This window comes from Homo sapiens, chromosome 7 (genome assembly GCF_000001405.40).
Source record: "Homo sapiens chromosome 7, GRCh38.p14 Primary Assembly".
NCBI lineage: Eukaryota > Metazoa > Chordata > Mammalia > Primates > Hominidae > Homo > Homo sapiens.
The window spans coordinates 137,510,436-137,530,260 of NC_000007.14; the positions used below are offsets into that span (position 1 = coordinate 137,510,436).

Here is a 19,825-nt window from a genome sequence, read left to right on the forward strand (position 1 = left end):
AACCACTACTGATATTTACTACCAGTGCTCAAGTACTTGGGAGGGAGATAACAAAGGCTTGACTGTGACACTGGAATCTTGGCTACATGGCCAGGCTAGCCAGATACATCTGAAAATCAAGATGAAATATTACATGTCTGAAAGGAAAGATTCACAACCATACCTAAAACTTCAATACTTGAAATGATGATTAGATACACTGGTCCAAATCTCTTTCACAATTTCTACATCATGCTGTCTGTTACACTGCAGGGTGATGGTCAAGGTCACCAACAACTAGATGCTGGGGACACATTCAGTCATGCAGCCTGGAATTTCTGAGTTGATTAGATACATGTGAAGAATTCATGACAGAAAAATTTTCTAAAATCAGCTGAAGGGGCCCCAAGCCTCTTTTGGGAAATAAAATGAATAAACAAATTATACATGGACAGCTTCTATGAGGAGATGTGAAATAGGGCAGTCTCAAACAAAGACATCCCTAGCAGCTGACAGCCTGGGGACATCTCTAATTCTGCTTACAGATGACTCCAGGAGACTGGCAGTGGACCAGTGATTCAGGAAACCCACTCGGTACTGAGAAAGACTGTTTTCCACCAGTGTGAACTAGGGAAAGCCTGAAGTTTTTATCCACGTAACTAGTGCATAAAATTGTGGTTCTGAGTCAATCTGCAAAGATGTTATTTTCAGATTAGCTTACACTTCCGCCCTTGATTCTGTTTAGTTCAATCAATGAATTGCTCTTATTAGCAAAGGCTACATTTTAACAGTGAAGGAAGAAATGAATATATAAAAAATACACATCCCATTGAGAATCAAACTCTGAAGTTTTCTCTGCTGACTATAGCGTCAGACTAGAAGTGACAGCCAGAAATTGAGGTGGCTTTATATTCAGGTTTCCACTTTTAATTACTCAAATTCCAAATGGAGAATATTTGGCTTGGCAATAATTCATCAGAAAGAACTTTTAAGGAAAGGTCAGCATTCACCTTTTAGGTTTCCATTTTACTTTGCTAATTCAGACACTTCTGAATAATCAACTTGTACTCCAATTCCCTGAATTTGGCATAGCAGGGAAATCAGGTTAAAAGATATAACAAGAGAAACACTTCAGAGCTAGCACTCACTGAAGCTGAATTTCCAGCACTTAGAACAGTCTTTGATACATAGTAGGTGTTCAATAGATCGTTGTTAAATGAAGAGTTGAATGAATGAACTCAAGGATTTTGGTATGTGGGTGGCTCTTTCTTGGCCTTAGTTCAAAAATCAGGTTATTAATACATAGCAAGACTCTGCTTTCGGAACTGAAGCAATGCATTCATGTTAGGATTGAGGCACTCATTTTCCCAGAGGCTAAAAGTTTGCTGATAGCGCACAGCTGAGTCCTTCTCCAGAAAGGCTGCTACCTCACTCAAGGTTTATCCCCTTCCAGGGCAGAGCCTGATCTGTGTCCAATAACCCTTGCCTCAATTTAGAAAACTCAAAATGGCTGTCCCAGGTCCAAAGGTCCCTGTGGGAGTCCTCAGTTGTGACTACAGCAAAGTTCAACATCTCCCTCTTCCTGGTCCCACTTTTCTTGCCCTGCACAGCTGTGGTTCCGTCTTGGGAAATCCTCAATAAAACCCTTGTACACAAAACTCAGTCTCACAGTCTGTTTCCCCAGAAACTCAAATGATGACAAGACCTATGACCGCAAATTCTTTTAAATTTGTCTTTATAAAGAAGTAGGCTGTATACTAGAAAGTGCCCTGGATTAAGAGAGAAAATATATAATTTCTTATTAAAATCCCACCACAGCAATGTAACCCTGTGCAAGGCAATCTTAAGTGTCCTTGTAATGATGCATGTGGCCAGTGTATACAACAGCCCTCTGTAAACCATGAAGCCCTATGCAATGATTGGATGTTATTATTTATTATTAAACAGGATAGTTGTGACTCTGCAATGGCCAACACTGCACTACTCAAACCTTAGCAAGATGAATGAAAGTAATAATTTTATACAAAGATCTTAGAAGAAAGTCTTCAAAGGGAAGTCTAACTACCATCTGAGCTTACATTCCAGAGTTGTCAACCTGGTAAGACAGCAACCAAATGGACTAGGCTGGTCTATAAATAGTAAGAGTTGGCCATAATTTTGAGTATGTGTTACATAAAATAAACCAATGAAAAGAGAAAATATTATTTTGGGCAGAGACTTAAGGATCTACCTGCAATTGATTGCTCTCATTGCCAAAGGCTAAGTTTTAACAGTGAAGGAAGGATCAAATATCATCATCATTTTAGGCCCAGTTCTTTGTCTGAAATCTAACATTATTAACTTCTAATATAGCACAGCACCAGAGCATATTTTATTTTCTTATAAAGAAAGAAAGCCTTTAGGTCATAAACAGAATTAGATGGCAAAAAAGTTTATATTAATAATAAGATCATATTTTGGCCCAATATTCCCCGGGTATCAGAGTCCTTTGAAATTAGAAAGACATAGAGTAGGCTCATCTATAAACCAAGACAGCCAGAAACCGGCAAGTCAGGCTCTATGTGCTTACAAAAAAACAATGAATTCAATCATCCATTTCCAAAGTAAAGGTCAGCAATTCTGCCGAACCCTGTCACTGTCTCTCTCCTCAAGCTATTTCAAACCTTCCTCTTTTTTTCCAGAACACTGATACTATCCATTTCCAACTTTCAACTAGTAAGCTTGCTTCTTCTTTTCCTGAGAAAATAAAAGCAATCAGAATAGAACTTCTGTTTCTCCCTAGCACCAAGTACACCAAGCTATCTGTATCTGTACTCCCTCCTCTGCCTTCTCTGGCTGTACTCGGGAGAACCTGCCCCACATTCCTGCCCACAACCTTCTATTGCTCACCAGGTTCCATCTTACCACCTACTCGAAGGCACTGCTCCTGCATTTGGCCCTCTTCTGAATCAAGTTCTCTCTCTAGTGAATTGGTCCCACCAGCATACACACTTGCTGTATTATCTTACAAATTAAAAAAAAGAATCCTCCTTTGATTCTACTATATTCTTTTATAGTCATCATCCCATTTCTTTCCTTAGTTTTATAGTTAAATACCTTAAAAGAGCAATCTGTGGTGAATTATAGTCATATGTCATTTAATGAAAGGGATGTGTTTTAAGAAACATGTCGTTAGGTGATTTCTTCATTGTGTGAACATCATAGAGTGTACTTAACACAAACCTAGGTGGAATCACCTACTACACACCTAGGCTATACGGTATAGCCTGTAGCTCCTAGGCTACAAACCTGTACAGCATGTTACTGTACTGAATACTGCAGGCAATTGTAACACAATGGCATTTGGGTATCTAAAATACCTAAACATAGAAAAGGTGCAGTAAAACTATGGTATTAAAATCTTGCTCTCGGCCTTAGCGCCATTTTTTTGGAAACCTCTGCGCCATGAGAGCCAAGTGGAGGAAGAAGCGAATGCGCAGGCTGAAGCGCAAAAGAAGAAAGATGAGGCAGAGGTCCAAGTAAACCGCTAGCTTGTTGCACCGTGGAGGCCACAGGAGCAGAAACATGGAATGCCAGACGCTGGGGATGCTGGTACAAGTTGTGGGACTGCATGCTACTGTCTAGAGCTTGTCTCAATGGATCTAGAACTTCATCGCCCTCTGATCGCCGATCACCTCTGAGACCCACCTTGCTCATGAACAAAATGCCCATGTTGGTCCTCTGCCCTGGACCTGTGACATTCTGGACTATTTCTGTGTTTATTTGTGGCCGAGTGTAACAACCATATAATAAATCACCTCTTCCGCGGTTTTAGCTGAAGAATTAAAAAAAATAAAATAAAATAAAATCTTATGGGACCACTGTTGTATATGCAGTCCATCATTGATCAAGATGTCATTATGCAGCTCACATCTGACATTCACTTGACCCTATTTGCACACGAATCCTCTCTATGCACTTTCACATTTTTCACTCCACAATCTCGTGAGGCTACCACTAACTACCCTCTACTCCAATCCAACTACCAATTCTTAGTGTGCATCTTACTCAACTTCTCTGAAACGCTGACAGCTAGACAGCTTTTATGAGTTATTTTTCTCTCTGATTCCAATGAACAAGCTCTCCTGCTGTTTTTGTAGCTAACCATAGGCTCCTCCTTGGTATTGCTCCTTCTTGGTCTCCTTTGCTGAATCCTCTGCATCTTCCCTACCTCTATTTACCAAGTTGCCAAGGTCAAAACATCAGAGGCAACTGAATTTTACACTCTTATGCAATACAGCGAATCCATCATCTCATCCTACCAGCATTACCTCCAAAATGTAGCCAGAATCCAACTGATTCTCTCCAACTCTACTACTTTAACTCTCTCATTCCTATTGCCTGTCACCTGGAGTATCACATTAGCCTGGTACCTGCTGCCCTATTTCCATCATTGCAACCTGAAAATGTTCTACCTAGTAGCCAAATTTATCTAGAATAAATTCAGGCATGATACACTCCTCAAGTAGTTCCAACACCTTCTCATTACACTTTGAATAAAATCCAAAGCCTTCTCCATGGCCTATAAGCCCCCTCCATGTGCTGACCCTTTAAAAGAACTTCCTGACTATCTCCATTCAACTAAGCAGGTTCCAGTCACATGGACATCCCTGACATTCATTAAATATACTAAGGATGCTTGGCCTTGGAACTTGCCATTTCCTCTGCCCAGGGATACTCTTCTAGAAATCCACATATACATGCACTCTTTTTGTTCTGGTCTCTCTTTAAATGTCACTTCTTCAGAAAGTCTCTTGCTGACCACCTTATCAAAAACAGGATCCTCTGTCACTGTTCTGCTTTACTTTCCTTTATAGCACTTGCTGCCATATTGTATTATTTATTCAATTGTCTGTCTCTCCACTGGAACATAAGTTCCAGGGCAAGCACTTTTCTGTATCTTGAAATAGTACTAGAAATACTTGAAATAGTACTAGAAATAAGGTAAGCAGTCAATTAATATTTGTTGAATTTATGAATGGCTGATTTGAGGTTGGAGGAAGATCCAAAAACAGAAACTTGTCCAACAAACCTGAGTGTGATAAACTAAGTCAAAGTCAGTTTAAATGTAAGAAGACATTTGAAATGGAATTGTGAAAGACTGACATGTAAATTTTTACTTATGTTATTAAAGACATTTATATGAAAAATAGGAAGTACTACTTGGAGGAAGCAGAAAACACAGTGATTAAATAAGTATTCAAAATGTCAGCCCCTTAGACTGTCTGAGTTTTCTGTGCCTCAATTGCTTTATATGTGAAATGGGAATAACAGTACTATCTATCACACTGAGATGTCGGGTGAGTTAAATTACACAATATATGTAAAAAAGGCATTTCCTAGCTCACAGCAATAGTACGATGTGTGTTAACCATTATTATTATTATATTTTTAATAAAATGATAAATATAAGAGACAGACAAGAGATGGGAAAAGACAGTAAAAGAAACTAAGCACGAAACTCTGGGTAAATGTCAAATCGTGAAAATAGGAATAAACATAAACACACTTGCAAAAAGGAAGGACAATGCCCTTCAGAGGACAAATTGACATCATTTAACTCCTCAGACAGATTTCAACTTGGAAAGCCTACCTCCACCAAATGGAGGCCTAATCTCTACTGAACAGCCCTGTTGTCAACTTGTTAAATGAGGGGGAAAGATTCAATTTTAGATGAAGCTATTGATAGGGAAAAAAAATCAGTGTTTTTAGCAAACTCTTGAAGCACAATGTACTTACATGGTTTCTAATGCTTATACTCATTATGAATGATGTTGGAGCTTTAAAAACTCTACTAAGGAAATATGCTGATGAAAAATTTTTTAATCCTGTGTAATTTCTATAAAACTAAACATTTATTATATTATAATCTGTTCTTAAGAAATGTCTAGTTTAACTACTGCATTTAACAGATAAGGAAACAGAAGCCTGAAGAAGACAAATGCATCGCCCAAGGTCACACACTTAATTAGTGGTTAGACTGGATTTTCTCATTCTTGCTTATATATTTTATCTTTCTTTCATTATTTAAATGACGTTTGCTAGAAAAATAGGTACAGAATGTTTCCATAGCCCCATCACAGTTATTATCACATTTTTTAAAAAAAGAAAAAAAGCTCCAGAAAATCAGGAACGAATTCTGTTGTTTTTTTTTCTTCCAACCCCTGCTCACGGTAAGGACTCAATAAAGGTACACTGAATAAATTATGTTATAATGTTGGATTTTCTAGTTTCATCTTTCAATGACTAACATCTAGTGTGGTATCTGACATATAACTGATGCAAACATGTAATTATTGAAAGTATGAATGCATGAATGGTTGAATGGCTCTACCATTTTGGCATAGTTAACAAATTCAGTTGAGCTCAAATATGCAAACTGGAAACAATTTAAAAAATCTTGATCCACCTCCTCTGATCATTTTGAAAGTGGGTTAGACTTAGTGACTTATTCCTAAAGAATAGAGTAGGGAAGGGGAAAAAATTGTAAGTCTATGGTGAAGGAACTTGGCAAATACCACCTTTACCAAATGATCAGGTTAACATCACCAGGGATGTCATGTGTATATCACATAAGTCTTGACATGATGGGGCAAAAAGCCTACTTCACCTCTACAGTATTCTTTCTAAAAACCCATAAATCCAGTGTAATTATGAGTAAAACAACAGACAAAGCCAGATTGGAAGATATTCTACAGGAAGCAGTATTCCCCCAAAACCATCAAGGTCATAAGAAAAAGAAAAGAAAAGAAAAGTAAAGAAAAGAAAAGAAAAAGAAAGAAAGAAAGAAAGAAAAGAAAAAGAAAGAAAGAAAGAAAGAAAAGAAAAAGAAAGAAAGAAAGAAAGAAAGAAAGAAAGAAAGAAAGAAAGAAAGAAAGAAAGAAAGAGAAAGAAAGAAAGAAGGAAAGAAAGAGGGAGAGAGAGAGGGCGGGAGGGAGGGAGAAAGAGAGAGAAAGAGAGAGAAAGAAAGAAAGATAAAAAAAGAAAGAACGCTGAGAAACGGTTACAGATCAGAAGAGACTAGGGAGCTATGACAACTCAATGCAATATGGTATCCTAGATTTGATCCTGGGATAGAAATTCCAAAGGTTTAGTTAATAGTAATGTAGCAATATCAGTTTCCTTGACAAACGCACCATGGTAATGTAAAGTGTTTAACAATGAGAAAAACTGGGGGAGGAATGCACAGGAATGCCCTGTATTACCTTTGTAACTTTTTTGTAAATCTAAAATTATTCCAAAATAAAAATTTGTTGCAAAAAATTCAGTGGTGGATAACAGATGACACACTTAAGAGAATGTATTAGGACTTAAGGAAGGAAATTTGCAGGTAAACGTTCAGATCATCCTATATGGGCATTCAGTATTTACATGCTTCATAGATTTAAGTATCTTGTCATTACAGCAGATGTTTACACAAGTAGACACAATAAAAGTAAATTGAATGATTTAGTTACACTTTCTTCCCATAATCTTTCTGTGATATTTACCAGTATTTTCAATTCTATTTTTGAAAGTAAGAAAGTGAGTTGGAGGGTGGTGGTGTGTGCAGTTTGAAGTGAGCTGCCTCAAGCCAGGAAGAGTTCTACATAGAGGAAGTCAGCCTCTATGACCTACTTTGAGTCTGGTTTTATGGACTTGAAGACTGATGAGCAGTATGACAGCAGGGCCTCTCTAACAACAACCACCACAAGCATCATAGCTACCATTTTTGGAGAGCACACTAATGTGCCAGACTTCACACCAAGGGTTCCATATACAGCATTACATTTAACCCTCAGCACTGAATGGGGTTATAATTATATTTTCATTTTACAGATGAGAGATTTGATCATCAGAGAAATTAAATGACTTTGTCAAGGTTTCAACTGAGATTCAAACACCAAAATTTCTGACTTTTCTACTAAATCACCAAACAAGGAAATTCCATTAGGGCAAATGCTTAACTAAATACCTAGTTTGGTTAACACTAACGATACTAGGATTTTACCCTATTTATTGATATATTATGCATTACATGTTATAAACATCCAGATAATACTGAATTATACTGAGATCATGTATGTAAAAGCATTGTCAAACACTGTATTTGATATACAACAAATGTTAATTCCCTATCCTTATAGACTACATCTGTTTTCAATTGGCTTCAAGCTGGTTTCTACTGCTTGTGTTTTAAACCCTAGATCTGTGTAAATTATCATGGCAATTTAAAAGTGCAGAATAAACTGGTGCTCAAACTGAAGTTTAACCAGTTTGCATGGGAACAGAGTTAAATTTGGGGGAATATCAAGTTATCTCAGATTTTTAAAAAATATATCATGTGTCAGTGAATCTCTTCTGGGGTTAGAAATACAACAGATTTTTAAAAACAGATCATCCTTTGCCTAGATTATATGATTATAAGCTTTATTAAGGACCCACTTGTATACTTCTGTTTATGAGAGTGATTTTCTGATATCATTATTACAGATTTGCTTTAATTTTTTTAATATGGCCACTTTCTCTTTATGTTCTACCTCTTAAGTTGAATAGACTGTCCCCTCTTGCAAACCACAACTATTATCTGAGGGTTGATAAATCCTATGGAGTGAGGAAGACTTTTAGTGTCTTACATAAGTCTGAAATTTACCAGCAAGAGCTGAGGGAAAGATTGACAAGGACTAAATTTTTCCGGGATATTATTTTAGAAGGATTGCCCCCCAGTGAGATGGGGCTAAGTGGAAGAGGAATGGGAAATATCTGAAAGAGTATAGTCCTCTTTCTCTGTGCTAAAATAAGCAAAGCAATTTAAAGGGCTGCCATCCATTATTGTCAGGGAGCCCTGCATTATGGACGGAAGATGGGCTTTGTTAGGTGACAAACATGCGAGCTTGTTATCTAACGGGAACAATGAGCAAGATTCTGCTAAACAGTGATGGAAAAGAACCACATGCTGCCTGAAGATATCACTTGGCACACCATCAAGAAATGGAACTAACTTCAAACGCAGTACCATGCTACTGCTCTAGGTCAGTCATTGATGACAATAAATGAATGACCTAAGAGGATTCACTCTCTTTGTTCTGGGATGCAGGTCAGAGTACATTCCTAGAGTCCCTTTTATCTAGATGTGTTGTGCAAATTTCACTTAATTAATGCTTCTGAAATAACATTTATTTTGGCATGCACCTCATATATGGACTTAAGCTTGCTTTTGTCTTTATACTCAGTTTGAGCCCTGTCAGCCTTCCCATGAATCTGTATTCTGTTTCAAGTTGGAACCAGGCAAAAGAGTAAAGGTTAGTAGGAGTGAATCCAGAACCTCAAAGGATAAACTTTCCTGAAAAACCACAGTTAGAAGCACCATCACCGCATATTAAAAGTAGAATGATTGAGTTGGTCACTTTTAATTCCAATTCTTTTATTGTTTTCTTCAAATCCAAATCATTGGAATGAATTTTTACATCTTTAGAATAACTCCTTTATCCCCTTTTAGAGAGTATATGTGTTCTTTGGGGTCCCAAAGACACTGTTCAATTTATTTGGCTTACATTTATGCCATATTTGACTTAAGAAGTTTCTTCACATAGAAATTTTATCACATATGCTGAGTAAAGCCCTTGCCAGAAAATGTCATCTTGTTGGAAAACCTCAAACCACAATTACCTCCAGGAATGGTAGACAGATAATGCCACAGAAAAGATAAAACAGATAATTGAAAGCTATAAATAAGCTTCAAATCTCATTTCAGCTAAAAATTTCAAATGTGTCCCCACTCCAAATTGAATTTCTTCAGAGTTGATCGTAAGCTGCAAAATATTATTTGAGATCTGTTATCTTCTTTTAAGAACTGTTAGCTATTTGTTTGGAAGCTTCAAACAAGAAAGAACATAAAACACTGTTCTTTATGATTAGTAACCTTTAGAACTCAATTTAATTTGCATTGTAGCTACACTTCCCATCGCAAAAATATATGTCTAACACTTTATGGATCAAACAGATTATATGCTAGTCTGTCGCTTATAAGTTCACTTAGATTAGAAAATGTAATATGTTGTTTACAGAAGGAAGAAATTCAGAGGTTTGGGGAATTGCTCCTCCTCCAGCTCACACTTTCCTATAAAAGGAAATGAGGGTAAAGTATGGAAGTGAGAAGGCTGGGGAGAAATTAAAAGATATTGATGTCTAAGGAAAACAACATAAAGGGTTTAGGAAGCTGAAGCAGCTGAGAGAATTAAGAAAGAAAATTCACAGCAAATTCTCTAGTAGATTCAGTGATTAGGCTACCAGGGATATGGCTCCTCACCTCGTGGCAACTCCAGATTGTAGAACCCTCTGTACCCACCCCTGGGATTATCCTTGGACCTCAGAATTTCCATCCACTAAAGCTTACTTCAGATCAGTCTCAGAAACCAGAGCTCAGAAAAGACCATCCCAGGAAGGCTTTCCTACTATTAATCCTGCCAGTTCTAACTATTTTCCTCTTTTACACAGGTAGCCAGGTCTACACTTAGAGACCATTTGGGGACTGGGTTCGTAAGTCTTTGGTTCCATATAAAAGTCATTTCTTTATATCAGCATCATTGCCTATTCCCTTGGACACCAGTTTTCCTTATCTTCTTTGACTTTATTGCAGTTGACTATTGGCCCCCACAATTAGGAAGGAGCCGAGAACCCTAATATCTAACACTCTCATGGTCTTAACTTCTGGCTTATTTTAACCAATTACCTCATAAATTATTATACAGACAGATTTAATGCAGTGATCAGAATGTACCAGATTGTAAAAAGTGTCCAATACATACTGATTGACTAGTGAGATGAACTAACAATTAGCTATGTATTCAAAGAAGCATACAGAAAATACAAACTTTGAGAAGTAATTCATACGTCGACTCAAGTGCAGGTTTCAAAAATAATGGCACCTCATCATCAATGAATCACTTTAATATCACAACATTCCCGTAGGCCCTTCTCTGACATTATATAATAGCATAATATCTAGAAGTGCTGAATGTGCCTCTTTGCCACATCTCTGTGACGAATGAGGGCAGTGTTTGATAACGCAGCCTCCAAGAAGAGATCTGTGTTGTCTCAAGAGTTTTCTGGATGGTGCTATACCATTGGTATCACGAACTTTTTGCTTTCCTCATTTTAGGCAAATCTGAGACTAAAGTGGCGAATAAGCCAAGAGATCCTGACTTGGCATCCACAGCAGAATGATTTTATTCAGCTGCTTTCCTTTTCCAGTTCCTTTTTCTGTAGCCCATACATTATCACTTGGAGCCCACATGTTACTGTGTTTCACTTCACTTCTCTAACCATGATTTTCAGGCACAAGGATAAATGAATCTACCCATCAAACCAAGGAGGATCAAGAAGCTGAAGATAGGCTGATCGCATGAAATCAATGAGGCACTTCCAACTTACAAGCTTCTCGGAGTTTCTCCTTGTCATAGTGGAATCCTTCATAGTCTTGTAAACTGATTTTGTTCACCCGGATCCTCAGACGATCTGGGACAGACTGGGGACTGCAAAACAAGAACCGAGTGGTCAGATACAAATGAGAGAGCGGAATTGGTAGCCATGCACCTGAAGGAATAAGGGCAATATTGTCTCTTCATGTTTAGAAGGAAGAGTTCACATTCAAACCAGAAAGGTGGGTTCCTTATCAGAATTGAACAGTGATCTGGAGAACACTTCTCCAGAAACCAAAAGTTTCTGGAATTTACATAAGAATATAGAAATATGCAAAAAGAGCCTTTGGAGCCCACTTTTATATCGTATTTTCTATTGATTTTTTAAAACATTTAATAAGATCATGTGCTTGTTACATAATAAATTAGATTCAGCAAATCTGAAATAGTGGGAGGTGGAGTGGAGCTTTAAGAACCACAGGCAGATATGCACATCACAGTAAGACATGGTCAGGGGCAGCCTGACCCTCAGAGAGATGGAAAAACTATCTTTAAAAAGCAGACCAAGAGTCCAGAAGCCACAGGGTTGAGACCGAAGTAGCTCTACACAGCTCAATAGCCTCTTTTGACAGCACCTCTCAGTCAAAGCATATTGCAATAAACACTGCTTGTAATGGTGGCTCTGAGCATTCCAAAATGAAGAAAAATGTTTAAATATGTACAGTGTCCTTTCTTTAGGAAGAGAATGAAGTGCGTAACTCATTTTGAAAGAATTCAATGCATACTGACTCCAGACACATATTAAGCAATAAAATGGTGCAGCACCAAACTTTCTGAACATCTATTCACTCCCCAAATGTCTGTAACTCGACTCCTTGATTTTCTTAAGCGATATTTTGAAAGTGGTTTAATCTTGGGCATTAGTTGAGTGGAATAATTTGGTTTTCATCACCACCACGATGGGTCAATACATTTCTTCAATATATTAATATAACAAAATACCTACTTGTCTTTCAATACGACCTTATACTGGGATTTCATTGGTTGAGAGAATTTTCTCATACAGAGGCTTCTCTTTTTTTTTATATTAAATGGTGACAAAAGTCACCACTGACTAACGTCATTGACTAAAGTAGAAAGAATGGCATTATTCTTTAATTTGTTCCTGTAAAGGAGGAAAAGGAAGGAAAGAAGGAAACAGAAATAAAGAAAAAAAGAAAGAGAAAGACGGAGGGAGAGAGGAAGGGAGAGAATGAGGGAGGGAAAGAAGGAAAACAGGAAAGATAAGAAAGAATACATGAAAGAAGGGAATACTGTGTCTACAATATTAGGACACCCCTCTCTACCTTCACTTCAAACTCACACACACAGAGACACAGACACACACCCATTTAATTTCAGTAAAACTCTGGAAGAGGGAGTAAAAAAATAATCTCATTCTGTTGTCTAAAGCCTCATTTTAGTGCAAAGTATAGTAACTCCCTCCATATGGAATCCCACTTTACTCACCCAAAATAGCACATACATATCAAACTATAGATACATATGTGCACACTCACACATGGTGCATTCTCTCTCTCTTTCTCTCTCTCTCTCTCTCACACACACACAGACAGAGAGAGAGATTTAAACTGTGGCTATTTAAAAGTGTAGATATACATGCACAAATTCTAAAGAGAGATGGTAGGCAGGTAAAAATGTCTGAGGTTCACTGGCTTAAAAAAATCAGTATAAAACTACAGAGATGGATATTTCTGGGGGAAATTTGAAAAGACAGATTCAACAGCTATACCGATCCATCACTCAAATTGTGTTTGTTGGGTATTTACTTTGTATTACCATAGTGCTGGACATCAAAAAGGTATGGACAAATAAAGCCGAAGCATTTAAGTTGTGATTGGAGATACAGCTTGACAGTATATTTATAGATACAGACCTTCAGTTAGTAGAACAGACCTTGAATATACTGAAAACTCACAATATCATTTACAGGTAGGGAAACTGAAGTTCAGAAAGGTGAAGTGATTTTAAGGTCACATAGCCACTAAGTAGCAGTGCTAAACGCAAAGCCTTGGACCCTTCACTCATCAGTTTCATGTTCTTTCTCTGCTCCTCTGAGGAGTTCAGACTCTCTTGTCAATGGATAAATACCAAGAATCCCATGGATTTGACGGCAAAACTATAAAGTCTGGATTGGCAGAGTCTGATGATCTCTGTGTGCTGCTCAGATTTCTTTCTTTATCAATAAACAATCATCAGGCGGGGTGGTTAAGTAAACCAGAGAACACTGGGCAGAGAGTACAAATGAATGTGTAGGTCTTTATTCATTTAGAGGGAAGTGTGGCTACAACATGCTGTGAAGTGAAGAAAAGTCATGAATAATTATATATGGCATAAGCTCCTTCATATAAATTGTGGACTTCAGGAGTTTGCACATGCAAGAGAAGTGCATGGAGACACGTCCAACAAGCTGTTGCAAGTTGTTATCTCTGTGTGGTGAAACCTGGGCATTATTTTATATCAAGTATAATTTTTAAGGAATTAATATAGTTATTTTAAAAGCACGTCCATATGTAAATAAACAATAATGCAGGACAAGAATAAAAATAAGGCCTATAGCAAAGAGTGTTAGGAATTAGATGCAAGTAGGGAGGAAAAAATTTACGCAATTAACAGAGTGACCACATGGTGTTCACATTAGATTTTTATCCCCAAATTAAAGGGGTCTGATAATCCCTTTATTTCCAAGTTCACTCAACTGATCTGCAAAGACTGTAATTAGAAAATATTTTCCTGCACACACAGCAGATAAAAGGGAAGCTGGAACCATAGAATGTAGTGGCCTATCAGACCCTAATAGGAGAAGTTGAGGAGGGGCAGAGGTTGAATGAACTCTACCTAAGCAATTATTTGAGATCATAGTAAATCTAATGGCAGTGGGCTTCAGTCTTCTCTACTGGGCTGGAGGTATCAGGACTAAGACCTCGATTGGGCAGTAGTTGCAAATGGGAAATGAGATTTGGAGAATGACTGCTGACCAGTTCCTGGACTCCCCTTCCTGGAGCTCCCCAATTTGGGGCTTACCAGTGTGTATCACCTTTCTCAAAACCCATAAAGTGGCTGCTCCCTGTGCCATGTCCTCCCAGGTTCTCATCTATGCCCTCTGATTCCAACCCATGCACTGTTGTCTCCTGAACCTCTGGCCACCCACTACTCCACCCTAACTTCCAGGGGGCACACCATGGCATAAAAGACACTATTATTTGAATCAAACTTTATAGATCCCAAATGAATTCACATATGATCTCAGTTCATCTCCAGAATGATCAGCTAAGCAAGACAGAAGAAATCAGACTCTAACCACCGCTTAACACTTTCTCCCATCCACTTTCCTACACTTTTGCTCTCTTGCTCTTAGCTCCCATCTTTTCCCAACAACCTACAACAGTTTCCACTTTCCCACTAGCAGCAGCTTACTTAAACCTAGTCTTCTGGGCGGGGTATCTGTTTTCTTTTTTAAACTCCTATCAAAAGATGTCCCAGTTGAGACTCATCAGCAAATTCTAGGGCATTAGACCCCAGGGTCAATAATGGTAAACCTTCTCGAATCATTTGCAACCCTGGTGTAAACAGCAGGTATGGGAGGCAACACAGCAAAGTGGTGAGGAGCTCAGGCTCCAAGTCAGATTGCCTGGATTTGAAGTAAAGTTCTTCCAGTTCCTAGTTAATCAGGAAACTCTATGCTTCATTTTCCTCATAGGTAAAGTGGAGATGATATCAGTATCCACCTCATAGGCATATTAAGAGAATTAAATGAGCCAATACATGTGATATGCTTAGAAAAATGCCTGGCACATTGTCAGTGCTCAATAGATTTTAGCTATTATCATTATAATAATTATTCTGAAAATCGTTCTCCTAGATAAGGTTCTACCTAATAATCAACAGCATTTGCTGCTTCTGCCAGATATTGGAAAATGTTTAGAGCACATGAAGGAACCTCCCTAAACATTTCTGACAAGGTGCTGGGCTACCTCTGGGGGGAGATTGTCTAGCTTGGCTGGTGGCATGACATTTTACACTTCTGGGTGCTCTCCCACCTAGTATTTTAAAAGGCCAACTAAAAACATGAAAACAGACAGCTAGAACATGGGGGAGTCGGGGGAAGTGCATAGAGATTAAATGAAAGCCAAGTAATTCAATTTCATACCTTTATGTCAAAATATATTAGTGTCCCATTAATGGCTGACTGAAGGTAGAGGATGACAAAGCTGTTCTTTGGAGTCTGGGGAATAGCACTGCCATTAGTTTGCTAAATTTAAATTTTGTCTGGGAAGTTAGTAGAGCAAAGAAGAGACAAACATCCTGGGTAAAAATAAATTTGCCTTCCTGCCAACATCTGCCACAAGATACTGCCATACTGATTAGGCTCTGGATCAGGGGTTCTAAACCCGGCTTCCATGGAACATCTCAAACTCCCTAGAAGGGATTTAGCAGTCTGTGAATTCCCTTTCCTATTGGGGTAGTGACCTAAACCTGTCGCCTTCTCACTAAGCCGACAGGTTTAGGTCACTACCCCAATTCTCTGCAACACTGTGATTGAGATCCTTATGCAGAATGGAAGTTCGTGGCTCTGGACTTAATTCCCAAATGTCTCCCATGAACACTTTCTCAAGAACCATAATAAGAGCACTTGTTGAATCACTCAGATGGGTTTCCAGTAACCTCCATGCCACAGCTTCCCTTATCCATGTTATACACACCTTTTACCCTGAGATGTTGGAAGGGAGGTAGACTGACTTTCCATTAAGACAACTCCCTGAACACTCACTGCTATTCAATTTACACTTAATCTTGCTATTCTCTGCTCTCCTGTAGATGTTGCCAATAGCTTCTTTTTCAATTGTTCCCATGTAGAATTTCAATCCATCAGAGTCGTATTCCTCCCTAGTGCCCTCAAACGTCTTCCTCCTTTTGATCAATTTCTTTAGTATACACTATTCCTCTCGGACTGATAAGAGACGCCTCTCATCCAATCTCCCACCCAGGCCTAATCTCTTTATGGATAAAGTGGATGGGCTGAGCGTTTTGGTTCTCCAGGGTCACTTTTAAACCACGGACTCCATTAACTCATTCTGTCACTGGAAACATGAATTATATAGGAGTGATATCCGTTAATATTAAGACATGATAGCAAGTGGATAAAGCAAGACGTATGGTCAAAAAATTTAGTTCCAATCTAAATGGTCAGAACGCTAAAGTTACCTTCTTTAAACCATTTTGTGATCTGAAAATGGGACTGATAATAGAAATGTAGTGAGCACTAAATGAGACATATATAAGGCAGTTAGCACCTTCCTGGCAAATAATAAGTGGTCAAAAATAATAATAGTTGTTGTTACTATTATTATCGCCCTAGCGCTTCTGCAATTTCCATAAGCCTTATATTGTTTATTCAGTCCTAGATAATAATATCATAGCTGAAGCCAGAGTTGCAGCTCTAATTAGCACTTAGTAGACAGGAAACCTTAGCAGAATGGGCATCCGTCAACATCAGTAGGGATACAAGATTCAGTGGAATGTCGCTATCCACAGTCTTTTGGACAATAATGCAAGTAGGGATGGTGAATGTTTGCAAGTTTTTTTTTACTTTTTAAAGATATTATGAATATAAATCTTAACTCATGTTGAGACAAGATCCTTAAAGTTATGTAATCATTCTACATTTTGTACCTTATAAATATCCTGTTTTCATTAACATTTCTTAGTTCAGTGTAAGGCTTGCCCCTTGTAACACGCACTATGTAGAAACATTGATTTTTATAAATAATTGTAATTCAACCAGGCATTTGCTACTCATATAGAGTTGTTTTTCTTTTATGAGACAGAAAAGCATAACTCTGTCTGCCTTTCACCCTTTAGCCCTGATTTAATAGTAATAATGAATTGCCTTAACTTCTTTCAAGCAATTCTACCTGATCATAATCTAGATATAATAAAATTTGTTTCTAACTAATCTAATAGAATTCATTTGAACTGGCTCGTTTTATAAATAGAGTTTTATTAAAATATGAATTTATAGTGTGAATTCACAGTGTGAAAGGCTATGAATTCACACTATGAATCTCTTCCTCCTCTTTGCAGCTCCAGCAGCTAGAACAATGCCTGGTCCATGTTGCTTACAATAAATGTTTTTGAACAAATGAGTAAATGAATGCAAGGAAATCAAATTCCTCTGCAACTGTACATGGTTCTGATGCTATAGCACAGCTTGGCATTGGAGCATTTCTGAGCTGCTTTCTAGCAGCTTTTCCCTTTGTGAAAAAGTCATAACTGATTTGGTCATCCATTTCTGTTCTTTGACCTCTGGATCAGGAAATAAATCCATGTTGAATTATGTTCCCACTTTTTATCTCCAGTAGAATCTACACAAATAAAAAGACAGAAGAACCTACAAATGGTAGATGTCCCCATCAAAAAAGTAAGTAAACCTTTTCTGAACTACCTGTTCTTCAATTAAATAATGCCTCGGAAATCTGAAACACATTGTACAGAAGTTTTTGATTCTTAAACCAAGCATAAACCAAAATCACATTAGCAGCAATCAGTCATGCACTCCCACTGCCCAACATGTTTTCCTGGAGAAAGTACCTTCAGAGGTTATTAATTCTTTTTTGATGGAAGTTGAGTAAGTTCTCAGTCTCTAAGACATCCATTTGTGAGGAGGTAATAGGATATGTTACAGCTTACAAATTATTTGAGGCAGCTATTCTTCCAGCCCTTCTTATAAGATCATCATGGAAGCATTATAGAGTCAAAAGCAATCTTCGATCTCATCTAATTCAGTATTTGCTATTCCATCTAATTCTATACGCCCCTATGACTGCATCTTCAAGTGGCTATTCTAAGTCTCTGCTTGATCCTCACCAAGCAGTAAGATGCTAATGGAAGTGGCTTAGTCTTTGTTCAGGCTACCTTAATCATTTGCAAATTCTCCCTGCAGTCTAAATTTTCCTCTCTGCAGTCTCTATTTATTAGCCCATCTACCACCATTTTTAGGGAATTGGCTTTTAAGTTACAAAAATAATCAGTCACATGGACTAATGTCAAAAGAGTGCAAACATTAACCACCAAAGCTAGATGCATATCAAAGAAATATTTGCTGCCTTGATGGCTAACATATTGCAAACAGACTATAAGCATCAAATGTCAATAAATTTTTATGACATTGGCTGAAACAGAAATTATTTTTTAAATTTTCTGGAGATCTTCAAAGTCACATTGTAATTAAAATTTTAAAGCCTCCATGGAAATTTGTAATAAATTTCTGTGCTTAGGGGAGCGTGAATGATGAGAAATTACTTAATGGGTACAACATATGCTATTTTGGTGATAGATACCCTAAAAGGCCTGATTCACCACTATGTAATCTACGCATGTAACAAAATTACACTTGTACTCCACAGACTTACAAAACTTTTTAAAATAAAAAAAATCTATGCTTTTGAGCATAGATTTTTCATGTGTGATTAGGCCAGAATCATTGGCCAGAATAGGGACCACTCAAAAGAATTCTGTTCAAAGGAAAAACTTACTCCCATAACTAATTTACCACATGGTTATTCTAGAGTGTGTTTTCTGTTCAGTGTCGTGTTCATGGTATTTAAAGGGAAGCAAAGGTATAGAACAAGCAAGCAGTGGCTTCCCTCAGTGGCATTGCAGAGCAGGTTAACAAGTATAGCAGTTTCATCATTTTTGTTTTAAAGGAAAATAGACATACTAACAACCTTGAATGATATTTCAAATTCTTCTGGCCACCTGTTTCCTTTTGTGGCAGTGAATGCCATCACTGTTACTGGCTCGTTGATCCAATTCTGGAATTTTACATGGATCCATCCCTACATACATGTGTTATGACTTTTTGCTCTTGTCGCCCACCCAGGCTGGAGTGCAATGGCACGATCTCGGCTCTCTGCAACCTCTGCCTCCTGGGTTCAAGCAATTGTCCTGCCTCAGCCTCCTGAGTAGCTTGGATTACAGGAGTGTGCCAATACACCCAGTTAATTTTGTATTTTAACTAGAGATGGGGTTTCACCATGTTGATAAGGCTGGTCTCAAACTCCTGACCTCCTCGGGTGATCCACCCACCTTGGCCTCCCAAAGTGCTGGGATTACAGGTGTGAGTCACTGCACCCGGCCATGTTATAACTTTTTATTACCAGAGTCACAGATTTATTTTTTAAGCCACTGAACAACTCATTGCCCCAGAAACTCAAAGTTCCCTCTCCATAAGACTATACAATATTGTTACTTTCTCTTTTTCCTTTATCCATGCATATTAAATTCACCTGACTTCACTTTTCAGTAGCCTTCCACACTGTGGTTAACTCCCTGCTGCCTGAAGCTCT

General features: G+C 38.0%; 1 protein-coding gene across 8 annotated transcripts in view; it reads right to left on the reverse strand.

Moving 5' to 3' along the window:
- The window catches only part of DGKI (diacylglycerol kinase iota), a 465,938-nt gene that overhangs the window by 129,399 nt on the left and 316,714 nt on the right, over positions 1 to 19,825 (reverse strand). For all 8 annotated transcript variants that reach the window (XM_047421022.1, NM_001321708.2, XM_047421021.1 and 5 more), the window contains one exon: positions 11,431 to 11,531. In XM_047421022.1, coding sequence (XP_047276978.1) covers positions 11,431 to 11,531 — 101 coding nt within the window. The remainder of the gene's footprint in view (positions 1 to 11,430; positions 11,532 to 19,825) is intronic.